Genomic DNA, 14,154 nt, shown 5'->3' with positions numbered 1-14,154 from the left:
AGAGGGTGTACATCCAATGTGATATTAGAAGGAACATGATCTCCTCCCATGGATATTATGAATAATAGCATCACAAAGAGTGTACGTCCCATGCGATATTAGGAGTAACATTATATCTTTCCTTGTATATTACAAATAATAGTATCACAGAGAATATACACCCTGTTCAATATTAGGAGTAACGTCATCTCCTTTTCTAAATATTATGAATAATAGTATCACAGAGGGTGTACACCCCATGCGATATTAGCAGTAACATCATCTCCTTTCTGAGACATTATGAATAATAGTATCATGAAGGGTGTACACCCCGTGCGATATTAGGAGTAACATCATATTCTCCCTTAAGTATTATGAATAATAGTATCACAGAGGGTGTACACCCCATGCGATATTAGAAGTAACATAACCTCTTTCCTTAAATATCGCGAATAATAGTATCACAGAGGGTGTACACCCTGTGCAATATTAGAAGTAACATCATCACCTCCCTTGGATATTATGAAGAATAGTATCACTGAGGGTGTACACCCCATGCGCTGTTAGAAGTAACATCATCTCCTCCCGTGGATATTCTGAATAGTATCATAGAGGGTGTAAACCCTCTGTGATATTAGAAGTAATATCATGTCCTCTGTTGGATATTACAAATAGTATCACAGAGGGTGTACACTCCCTGCATTATTAGGAGTAATTCCTCTCCTCCATTGGATGTTATGAATATTATCACAGAGGGTGTACACCCAGCACGATATTAGGAGTAATATCATCTCATTTGGATATTACAAAGAGTATCACAGAGAGTGTACACCCCCTGCGATACTGGGAGCAGTATAATTTCCTCCCTTGGATATTATGAATAATATTACAGAGGGTGTACATACAAAGTGTGTACGATGTTAGGAGTAATATCATCTCCTCCCTTGGATATTACGAATAATATCACAAAAAGTGTACACCCACTACTACATTAGGAGTAATATCTCCTTCCTTGGATATTACCAATAATATCACAAAGGGTGTACGACCACTGAAACATTAGGGGTAATATCATCTCCTTCCTTGGATATTACAAATATAACCACAGAGGGTGTACACACAGGGTGTGTAGGATATTGGGAGTAATATCACCTCCTTCCTTGCATATTACAAATAATATCACAGAGGGTGTACATCCACTGCGATATTAGAAGTAATGTCATCTCCTTTTTTGGATATTATGAATAATATCACAGAGGGTGTACACCCACTGCGATATCAGGAGTAATGTCATCTCCTCCCGTGGATATTGTTACGAATAATATCACAGAGGGTGTATGCCCACTGCGGTATTAGGAGTAATGTCATATCCTCCCTTGGACATCATTACAAATAATATCACAGAGGATTTACACCCACTGCGATATTAGGAGTAATGTCATCTCCTCCCGTGGACTTTATTATGAATAATATCACAAAGGGTGTACGTCCACTGCGATATTAGGAGTAATGTCATCTCCTCCCTTGGACATCATTACGAACAATATCAGAGAGGGTTTAAGCCTACTGCAATATTAAGAGAAATGTCATCTACTTTTTGGACATCATTACGAATAATATCACGGAGGGTGTATGCCCACTGCGATATTATAAACCTCCTGAGATATTGGGAGTAATGTAATCTCCTGCCTTGGACATGATTATGAATTATATAATGGAGTGTGTATGCACACTGAGGTATTAGAAGTAATGTTTTCTCCTCCCTTGGACATCATTACGAATAATATCGCAAAGGGTGTACGTTCACTGCGATATTAGAAGTAATGTCATCTCCTTTCTTGAAAATGATTACGAGAAATATCACGGAGGGTGTACGCCCCCTGAGATATTAGAAGTAAAATTATCTCCCCCCTGGAATGTTACAAAGAACATCACAGAGGGTGTACACCCCCAGCCATAATAGAAGTAATATCATCTCCCCCCTGGGATATTACCAAGAATATTACAGAGGGTGTACATCCCCTGCGATATTAGGAGTAACATCATCTCTTCCTGGGATATTAGGAAGAATATCACAGAGGGTGTACACACTCTACGATATTAGGAGTAACATTATCTCCCCCCTTGGATATTTCAAAGACTATCACAGAGGGTGTACACCCCCTGCAATATTAGAAGTAATGTCATTGCCCCCTGGGATATTGCGAAAAGTATCACGGAGAGTGTACACGATGTAAGGAGTAACATCATTTCTTCCCTGGGATGTTACAAAGAATATCACAGAGGGTGTACACCCCCTGCGATATTTGGAGTAACATCATCTACCCCCTTGGATATTATGAAAAATATCACAGGGGATGTACACCCCCTGCGAAATTAATCATTTCTCCCCTTGGATATTACCAAGCATATCACAGAGAGTGTACGTTTTCTGCTATATTAGTAGTAATATCATCTCCCCCCTTGGATATTACAAAGAATGTTACAGAGCGTGTACACCCCCTGCGATATTAGGAGTAACATCATCTCCCCGCTCGGATCATATGAAGAATTTCACAGAGGGTGTACACCCCCTGCTATATTAGGAGTAACATCATTTCCCCCCTTGGATATTAGGAAGAATATCACAGAGGTTTTAACCCCCTGCAATATTAGGAGTAACATCATCTCCAATTTTGGATATCACGAAGAGTATCACAGAAGGTGTACACCCCCTGCGTTATTAAGAGTAACATCATCTCCCTTCATGGATATTTTGAAGAATATCACAGAGGGTGTACACACAGGGTGTTTACAATATTATAAGTAATATCATCTCCCCACTGGGATATTAAGAATAATATCGCAGAGGGTGTACACCCCCTGCGATATTATTAGGATTAATATCATCTCCCTTCTGGGATATTACGAAGAATCTCACAGTGAAGGTACACCCCCCTGCGATATTATGAGGGGTAATGTCACCTCCCCCGGGGATATTATGAAAAATCTCGCAGTTGGGGTACACACACTGAGATATTATTAAGAGTAATATCATCCTCTCCCCCGGGATATTACAAATAATCTCGCAGAGGGGGTACACCCCACGATATTTTTACGAGTAACATCATCTCCTCCCCATTGGGATATTACGAAGAATCTCGCAGAGGGGGTACACCCCTTACGATATTATTAAAAGTAACGTCATCTCTTCCCCGCAGGGATATTACGAAGAATCTCACAGAGGCGCTGCACACCTGCGATATTATTAGGAGTAATATCATCTCCTCCCCGCTTGGATATTATGTAGAATCTCGCAGAGGGTTTACACCCCCAGCGATATTAGAAGTAATATCATCTCCCCCTTGAGATATTACAAAGAATATCACAGAGGGTGTACACCCCCTGTGATATTGGTAATAACACCATCTCCCCAATTGGATATTATGAGCAAAATCATAGATGGGGTACATCCCCTTTGATATTGGGTGTAACATCATCTCCCTTCTTGAATATTACGAACAATATGACAGAGGAAGTCCACCCCCTGAAATATTGGGAGTAACATCATCTCCTCCCTTGTATATTATGAACAATATCACAGAAGGGTCCACCCTGTGTGATATTGGGTGAACGTCATTTCCCTCTTGGATATTATGAACCATATCACAGAGTGCGTACACTTCCTTAGATATTGGGAGTAACGTCATCTCCTCTATTGGATAGTACGAACCATATCACAGAGGGGATACACAACCTGCGATATTGGGAGTAACGTCATTCCCCTCCTTGGATATTATGAACCATATCACAGAGGGTGTACACCTTCTGCAGTACTGGGAGTAATGTCATCTCCCCCCTTGGATATTGCAAACTGTATCAGAGAGGGAGCACACCCTCTGCGATATTGGGAGTAACGTCATCTCCTTTCTTGGTTACTACGACCCATGTCACAGAGGGGGTACACCCTCTACGATATTGGGAGTCTTCTTCCTCCTTGGATATTATGAAACATATCTCAGAGGGGGTACATCCCGTGTTATATTGGGAGTTAAGTCTTCTCCCCCATTTTATACTACAAGAATCATACCACAGAGGGGGTACACCCACTGCGATATTGAAAGTACCATCATCTCCCCTCTTGTATGTTATGAACCATATAACAGAGGGGGTACACCCTCTGCGATATTGGGAGTAACGTCCTCTTCCAGCTTGGATATTATGAACCATTTCACAGGCGGTTCACCCCCGTGATACTGAGAGTAACGTCATCTCCCCCTTGGTTATTACGAATAATATCACTGAGAGGGTACACCGTCTGCGATAGTGGGAGTTACATAATTGTTGGGAACAGACCCCCCAAAATCTGGCCATAAACTTGCCCCAAAACTGGCCATAAACAAAATCTCTGCAGCGCTGTGACATGTTCATGATGGCCATGATGCCCACGCTGGAAGGTTGTAGGTTTACCGGAATGAGGGCAGGGAACACCTGGCCCACCCAGGGTGGAAAACTGCTTAAAGGCCTTCTTAAACCACAAACAATAGCATGAGCGGTCTGTGCCTTAAGGACACACTCCTGCCAAACCCATCCCTTTATTTCAGCCCCTCCCTTTATTTTCCCTAAGGAATACTTTGTTAATCTATAATCTCTAGGAACAATGCTTATCACTGGCTTGCTGTCAATAAATACGTGGGTAAATCTCTATTTGAGGCTCTCAGCTCTGAAGGCTGTGAGACCCCTGATTTCCTACTCCACACTTATATGTTTCTTTTTTTTTTTTTTGTAACTTTATTTTTTTATTATTTATTTATTATTATACTTTAAGTTACAGGGTACATGTGCAAAACGTGCTGGTTTGTTACATATGTATATATGCGCCATGTTGGTGTGCTGCACCCATTAACTCGTCATTTACATTATGTGTGTCTTTAATTCCTCTAGCTCCGCTGGGTTAGGGTCTCCCCGACCGACCGAGCTGGTCTCGGCACATAATCTCCCCCCTTAAATATTAAGAACAGTATCACAGAAGGGGTACACCCCCTGCGACACTGGGAGTGACGTCGTCTCCCCCCTTACATATCACGAACAATATCACAGAGAAGGTAGACCCCCTGAGATACTGGGAGTAACGTCATCTTTCCCCTTAAAAGTTATGAACAATATTACAGGAGCAGTACACCCCCTGAGATACTGGGAGTTATGTCATTTGCTCCCTTGGATATTACAAACAATATCACAGAGGGGGTACGCGTGCTGTGATACTGAAAGTAACGTCATCTTCTCTATTGGATATTACAAACAATATTGCAGAGGCAGTACACCCCCTGCTATCCTGGGAGTAAAGTCATCTCTCACCTTGGATATTACAAATAATATCACAGAGTGGGTACAACCCCCTGTGATACCGGAATAAACGTCACCTCCCTTCTTAGATATTATGAAAAATATCACAGAGAAGGTACACCCCCTACGATACTGGGAGTAACGTCATCTCACCCCTTGCATATTACGAACAATATACAGGGGGGGATACACCCTTTGTGATACTAGGGTAACGTCATCTCCGTTTTTTGATGTTACAAGCAATATCACAGACGGGTTACACTCTCTGCGACTCTGGGAGCAACGTCATCTCCCCCCTTGGATATTACGAACAATATCACAGAGTGGGTACATTTCCTGACATACTGGGAATAACGTCATCTTTCCCCTTAGATATTACGAACAATATCACAGTGAGGGTACACCTGCTGCAATACTGGGAGTAATGTAATCTCCCCCCTTGGATATTACGAACAATATCACAAAGGGGGTACACCCCATGAGATACTGAGAGTAACGTCATCTCCCCCCTTGGATGTTATGAACAATATCACAGAGGGGATACATCTTCTGTGATACTGGGAATAACGTCATCTCCTCCTTGGATATTAGGAATAATTTCAGAGGGTACACATCGCCTGCAATACTGGGAGTAATGTCATCTCCCTCCTTTGATATTACGAACAATATCACAGAGGGTGTACACATAGGGTGTTTATGACATTGGGAGTAATATCATCTTCCCCCTTGGATATTATGAACAATAGTACAGAAGTTGTACACCCACTGCTACAATGGGAGTAATATGATCTCCCCCTTGGATATTATGAACAATATCACATAGGGTGTATACACCCTTGTGACACTGAAGGTAATATTATCTCCCCTCCTTGGATATTATGAACAATATCACAGAGGGTGTACACTGAATGCAACATTGGGAGTTATATCATCTCCCCCTTTGGATATTACGAACAATATGACCAAGGGTGTACACCCCTGCGACATTGTGAGTAATATCATCTAACTTCTTGGATATTATAAACAATATCACAGACGGTATACACCCCCTGCGACACAGGGCATAATATCATCTCCCCCCTTGGATATAACAAACAACATCACAGAAGGTGTACACCAGCTGCGACATTGGGAGTAATATCATATCTCCCCTTGGATATTACAAATAATAACACAGAAAGTGTACACCCATGCGACATTGGGAGTAATATTATTCCCCCCTTAAATATTATGAGCAATATCACAGAGGGTATAAACCCCTTGTGACATTAAGAGTAATATCATCTTTCCCCTTGGATATTACAAACAATATCACAGAGGATGTACATCCCCTGTGACAAGGAAGGTAGTATCATCTCCCCTCTTGGATATTATGAACAATAGACAGAGGGTGTACACCCCCTGTGACACTGGGAGTAGTATCATCTCCCCCCTTGAATATTACAAACAATATCATAGAGGGTATACACACCTGTGACATTGGAAGTAGTATCATCCCCCCCCCCTTGGATATTACAAACAATATCACAAAAGGTGTATATCCCCTGAGACATTGGGAATAGTATAGTCTCCCACCTTGGATATTGTGAACAATATCACAGAGGGTGTTCATCCGCTGCGAAATTTGGAGTAGTATTACCTCCCCCTTGGATATTACAAACAGTATCACAGAGGGTGTACACCCTCTGCAACATTGGGAGTAGTATCATCTCCCCCCTTGGATATTATGAACAATGTCACAGAGGGTGTACACCCCCTGCGACATTGGGTGTAGTATCATCTCCCTCCTTGGATATTACAAACAATATCACAGAGGGTGTCCACCCCCTGTGACATTTGGAGGTAGTATTATCTCCCCTTTTAGATATTACAAACAATATCACAGAGGATGTACATGCTCTGCGACATTGGGAGTAGTATCATTTCCCCCCTTGGATATTAAGAACATTATCACAGAGGGTGTACACCCCCTGTAACATTGGAAGTAGTATCATCTCCCCCCCTTGGATATTACAAACAATATTACAGAGAGTGTATACACACGGTGTTATGATATGGGGAGTAGTATCATATCCTTCCTTCAATATTATGAACAATATCACAAGGGGGTACACCTGCTGCGATACTGGGAGTAATGTCATCTCCTCCATTGCATATTGCAAATGATATAGAGGGGTACATCCCCTGCGATAATGGGTGTTATGACATCTCCCTCCTTGGATATTATGAAGAATATCACAGAGGGGGTACACCTCCTGCAATACTGGGAGTAACATCATCATCCCCCTTGGATATTACCAAAAATATCGCAAAGGGTGTACACCCCAGGCAACATTGACAGTTATATCATCTCCCAACTTGGATATTACAAACAATATCACAGAGGGTGTACACCCCATGCGACATTGGGAGTTATATCATCTCCCACCTTGGATATTAAGACCAATATCACAGAGGGTGTACACCCCCTGCGACATTGTAACATCATTCCCCCCTTGGATATTAAGAACAATAACAGAAAGGGTGTACATCCTCTGTGATTTTGTACAAACAATATCACAGAGGATGTACATCCCCTGAGACATTGGAAGTAGTATCATCTCCCCCCTTGGATAATACAAACAATAACAGAGAGGGTGTACACCCCCTGCAGCATTGGGAGTAATATTATATCCACCCTTGGAATGTACACCCATGGGACATTGGGAGTAATATCATTCCCCCCTCTTAAATATTATGAACAATAACACAGAAGGTATACACCCCTTGCGACATTGGGAGTAATATTATCTCCCCCCATGGATATTACAAACAATATCACAGAGGGTGTACACCCAATGCGACATTGGGAGTAATATTATCTTTTCCCTTGGATATCACAAATCAATATCACAGAGGAAGTACATCCCCTATGACTTTGGAAGTAGTACCATCTCACCCCTTGGATATTATGAACAATAACACAGAGGGTGTACACCCCCTGCGACATTGGAAGTAGTATCATCTCTCCCTTGGATGCTACGAACAATATCACAGAAGGTGTACACCCCCTGCGACACTGGGAGTAGTATTATCTCCCATCTTGGGTATCACACACAATATCGCAGAGGTTGTACACCTCCTGCAACATCGGGGGTAGTATCATCGTCCCCCTTGATTATTACGAACAGCATCACAGAGGGTGTCCAACAACTGTGACATTGGGATTTGTGTCATCTCCCCGTTTAGATAATACGTACAATATCACAGAGGGTGTGCACCTCCGGCAACATTGTGAGTAGTATCATTTTCCCCTTGTATAGTACAAACAATAGCACAGAGAGTGTACACCCCCTGCGACATTGGGTGTAGTATCATCTCCCCCCTTGAGTATTATGAACAATATCACAGAGGGTGTACACCACCTGCGACACTGAGAGTAGTATCATCGTCCACCTTTGATATTACAAACAATATCGCAGAGGGGGTACACCCCCTGCAATCCTGGGAGTAACGTCATCTCACCCCGTGGATATTATGAACAATATCAGAGAGAGGGTACACTCTCTGAGATACTGGGAGTAACGTCATCTTTCCCCTTAGATATTACAAATAATATCACAGGGTACTCCTGCTGCAATACTCGAAGTAACGTCATCTACCACATGGGATATTATGAACAATATTACAGAGGGGGCACACTTTCTGCGATACTGGGGGTAACGTCATCTCCCTCCTTGGATATTACGAACAACATCTAAAAGGTGGTACACCCCCTGAAATGCTGGGAGTAAAGTCATCTCCCCCCTTGAATATCATGAACAACAATACAGAGAGAGGGGGTACACGCCCTTCGATACTGGGAGCAACGTCATCTCCCGCATTGGATATTACGAACAATATCACAGAGGATGTATACCTTCTGTGATACTGGGAGAAGCGTCATCTACCCTTGGGATATTAGAAACAATTTCACACAGGGTGTACACCCCCTGCGATACTGGGAGTAAAATCATCTCCCTCCTTGGATATTATGAACAATATCACAGAGAGTGCATACACAGGGTGTTTACGATCTTGGGAGTAATATCATCTTCCCCCTTGGATATGAAAAACAGTATCACAGAGGTTGTACATCCCCTGCGACTCTGGGAGTAATATGATCTCCGCCCTTAGATATTACGAACATTATGAGTTAGGGTGTACACCTCCTGCGACATTGAAAGTAACATCATCTGCCACCTTGGATATCATGAACAATATCACATAGAAGGTAAATTCCATGTGACATTGGGAGTTATGTCATCTCTACTCTTGGATATTATGAACAATATAACAGGGCGGTGAACAAAACCTGTGATATTGAGGGTAATATCATCCTCTCCCCCTCTGAATATTACTAACAATATCACAAGGGGGTGTACACCCCCTACGAAATTGGGAGTAATACCATCCTCTTCCACTATGGATATCACAAACAATATCAGAAGAAGGTGTACACTCCCTGCGATATTGGCAGTAATATCATTCTCTCCCCCTCTGGATATTATGAACCATATGGCAGGGGGGTGTCTCAGGGGGCGTACCTCCTCTGTGATATGGTCCTCTGTGATATGTGTATATTCCTCTGCGATATTGAGAGTAATATCATCCTTCCCCCCCCCCCCGTATATTACGAACAATATCACAGAGGGTGTATGACCTTTGCGATATTGGGATTAATATCAACCTCTTCTTCCCTTGATATTACGAAAAATATCACAGGGAAATGTATACCACCTGCGATGCTGACAGTAATATCAACCTCTGCTCCCCTGGATATTACTAACAATATCACAGGAGAATGTATACCCCATGCAATATTGGGAGTAATATCATTTTATCCTCACCTGGATATTACGAACAATATCACAGGGGGGTGTACACTGCCTGCGATATTAAAAGTAATATCATCCTCTCCCCTTCTGGATATTAGGAACAATATCACAAAAGGAGTGTACATTCTTTGCGATATTCAGAGTAGTATCATCCTGTTTTTCCCTGAATATTCGGAGAAATATCACAGGTTGAGTGTACACCCACTGCTATACTGGGAGAAACATTATACTATACCAGCTGGAAATTAAGAGCAATATCACGGGGTTGGGGGTGTGGAGAAGAGCCACTGCAATGTTAGAAGTAATATCATTCTCTCCCCTACTAGTTTATTGGGAACAATATCACAGGGGGTTGTACACTCTCTGCGGTATTGAAAGTAATATCATTATCTCTTCATTTAGATATTAGGAACAACATCACAGGAAGAGTGTACTCCCCCTGCACTATTGGAAGTAATATCATTCTCTCTTCTTCTCGATTTTACGAATAATATCACAGGCGGTGTGTACACCCCTTGTTATATTGGGAGTAATATCATCTTCTATCCACGTGGATTTTCAAAACAATATCACATGGGTGGTGTACATTCCATCAATATTGGTAGTAATATCATCTTCTCACCTCCTGGATATAAGAAATAGCATTACAGGCGGTGTGTACACCCCTTGCAATATTGGGAGTAATATCACCTCTCCCCATGTGGTTATTGGGGACAATATCACAGGGGGGTGTACACTTCCTACGTTATTGGGAGTAATATCATCTACTCACCCCCTGGATATCAGGAACCATATCACAGAAGGGGTGTAAACCCCCTGCGATATTGTCAGTAATATCCTTTTCCACCCTGTATATTAGAAACAATACCAGAAAGGAGGTGTACACCCACTGCGATATTGGGAGTAATATCAGCCGCTTTCCCGCTGGATATCAGGAACAATATCAAAAGGGGTGTGTACACCCCCTGCGATATTGGGAGTAATATCAGCCTCTACCCCTCTCCATATTAGGAACAATGTACAGAGACAATATATCCCCTGCGATATTGGGAATAATATTATTCTCTTTTCCCTGTACATTAGGAACTATATCACAGCAAATATGTACACCTCCTGCAATATTGGGATTAATGTTATCCTCTCCCCCACTGAATACTAGGAACAATATCAGACAAGGATATACACACCCTGTGATATGGCCACCAATATCATCGGCTCCTTCCCTGGATATTAGGAACAATATCAAAAGGTGTGTACTCCCCCTGCGCTATTGGGAGTAATACTATTCTCTCTTCCCCTGGATATTAGAAATAATATCACAGGTGAAGTGTACACCCCACCCCCTGCGATAATGGGGGTAATATCATCCTTTTTTAACCTTGATATTAGGAGCAATATCACAGGGGTCGTGTACACGTTCTTCAATACTGAAAGTAATATCCTCTTCTCCCCCCGAAAATAGTAGGAAAAATATCAAAGAAGCTGTGTACACCACTTGCGATATTGAGAGTAATATCATTCCCTCACCTAAATATTAGAAACAATATCACCGGGAAGGTGAACATCACCAGCGACATTGGGAGTAATATAGTTTTCTACCCCCATCGATATTGAGAACGATATCACAGGGGCGGTGTACACCCTCTGCGAGACTGGGAGTAATATCATCCTCACCCCCCACTTGATACTAGGAACAATATCACAGGCGGATTATACACCCACTGAAACATTGGGAGTAATATCATCCTTTCTCCCATGGATATTAGAAACAATATCTCATGCGGGGTGTACCGCGCATTCTGTTTTGACAATAGTATCAATTTCTTCATTGCCGGAAAAAAAAAACAATATAACAGGTGTGGTGTACACACCCTGTGATATTGCCAATATCACTGACTCCCCCCGGGATATTAGGAACAATATCAAAAAGGGGTGTATCCCCCAGCGATATGGGGATTAATATCATGCTCTCCCCCTGGATATTAGGAACAATATCAAAGAGGGGGTGTCCACCCCTTGCGATATTGACAGTAATATCATCCTCTCCCTCCCTGGATTTTAAGAACAATACCACAGAGTTGGTGTACACCCACTGCGATATTGGGAGTAATGTGATACTCTACCCCCTGGATATTAAAATAAATATCAGAGGGGGTGTACAACCCCCGCGATATGGCCAGTAATATCATCGTCTCCCACACTGGATATTAGCACCAATATCACAGGGGTGTGTACACCTCCTGCGCTGTTTTGAGTAATATCATCCTCTCTTCCCCTGGCTATTAGGAATAATATCACAGGTTGGGGGTACAACTCCTGCAATATTGGCAGTAACGTCATCCTCTACCAACCTGGATATTGGAAACAAAATAACAGGCGGGGTGTACACCTCCTGCGATATTGGGAGTAATATCTTGCTCTCCCCCACTTGATATTAGAAAAAATATCCCAAGAAGGGTGTACACCCTCTGAGATATTGATAGTAATATCATCCTTTCCCCACGTAAATATTAGAAACAATATCACGGGGGGGTGTACACCTCCAAAGACATTGGGAGTAATATCATCCTCTCCCTCCCCGGATATTAGGAACAATATCAAAGGGGTCTTTTACACCCACTGTGATATTAGGAGTAATATCTTTCAAATCCCCCCTGGATTTTAGATACAATATTATGGAGGGTGAGTACACCCCCTGTCATACTGTGAGTCATATGATTTCTCTTCCCCTGAATATTAGAAACGATATCACAGGGAGTGTGTCCCCTGTGATATTGAAATTATCATTCTCTGCCCCACTGAATAGTAAAAACAATATCACAGGGGTGTTGTCCACCCCTGAGATATGGACAGTAATACCATTGTCTCCCCCCGTAAATATTAAGAACAGTATCACAAGTGGGGTGTACACCCCCTGCGATATTGAGAGTGTATAATCCTCTCTACCTTTGGATATTAGGAACAATATCGCAGGGGGGGTGCACACCCCCTGCGATATTGGGTACAATGTTACCCTCTCCTCCCCGGATATTAGGAACAATATCCTGGCGTGTCGAGGGGTACAACCCCTTCAATGTCGGGAGTAATAACATCCTTTCCCTTCTGGACATTAAGGACAATATCACTGGGTGGGTATACAGCCCTGCGATATTGGGAGTAATATCATGCTCTCCCACCTAGGATATTAGGAACAATATCACAGGAGGGGTGTACAGCCCCAGCGATATTGGGATTAATATCATCCTCTCCCCTTCTCGATATTAGGAACAATGTCCCAGGGTGGGTGTACAGCCCCTGCAATATTAGGTGTAATATCATCGTCTGACAACATGGATATTGAGGACACTGTCACGGGAGGGTGTACACCTCCTTCGATATTGGGAGTAATATCACCCTCTCCCCATGGATTGTAGGAAATATATCGAAAGGGTTTTACAATTTGTGCCATATTGGGAGTAATATCATCCTCTCCCCACTTAGATATTAGGAACTATATCACGGGACGCTGTACAGTTCTTGTGATATTGGGAGTAATATCATCCTCTCCCATCATAGATATTAAGAACACTATCACAGGTGTACACCCCCTGTGATATTGAGAGTAATGCTCTCCCCTTCTGGCTATTAGGAACAATATCACAGAAGGGTGCACAGTTCCTGCGATGTTGGCAGTAATATCACACCCTCCCCGCCCCGATATCAGAAATAATAATACTATTTATTAATAATTAATAATTGATTTTAATTAATTCTAATTAAGTTGTAATTATGAATAATCAACACATTATTAGTTATTTATTATTAATAATCATTGTTACAATAACATTGATAATTATTAATTAATATTGATTATAAATATTAATAAACATGACAATCATACCAATTAATATTATCAATTATGTTATTAATCATGTTAATAAAAATTAATATTAATGATTAACATTAGTTGATGGTGCTATCAATAACAAAATAATGAGTAATTAATATTAATTAC

The 14,154-nt window shown here is 41.9% G+C and overlaps 1 long non-coding RNA gene and 1 other non-coding gene across 5 annotated transcripts in view; one reads left to right on the top strand and one right to left on the bottom strand.

The window, feature by feature from the left end:
- Positions 1–14,154, bottom strand: part of LOC105375138 (uncharacterized) — a 121,035-nt gene that overhangs the window by 35,959 nt on the left and 70,922 nt on the right. The window lies entirely within an intron of this gene.
- On the top strand, positions 8,272–8,353 carry MIR3683 (microRNA 3683). The gene has a single exon (NR_037454.1). It is a non-coding gene; the product is annotated as a microRNA 3683 (primary transcript).

This window comes from Homo sapiens, chromosome 7 (genome assembly GCF_000001405.40).
Source record: "Homo sapiens chromosome 7, GRCh38.p14 Primary Assembly".
In the NCBI taxonomy this organism is placed as follows: domain Eukaryota; kingdom Metazoa; phylum Chordata; class Mammalia; order Primates; family Hominidae; genus Homo; species Homo sapiens.
The sequence above is the reverse complement of the archived record's forward strand: the minus strand, read 5'-3'. Positions and strand labels throughout refer to the sequence as shown.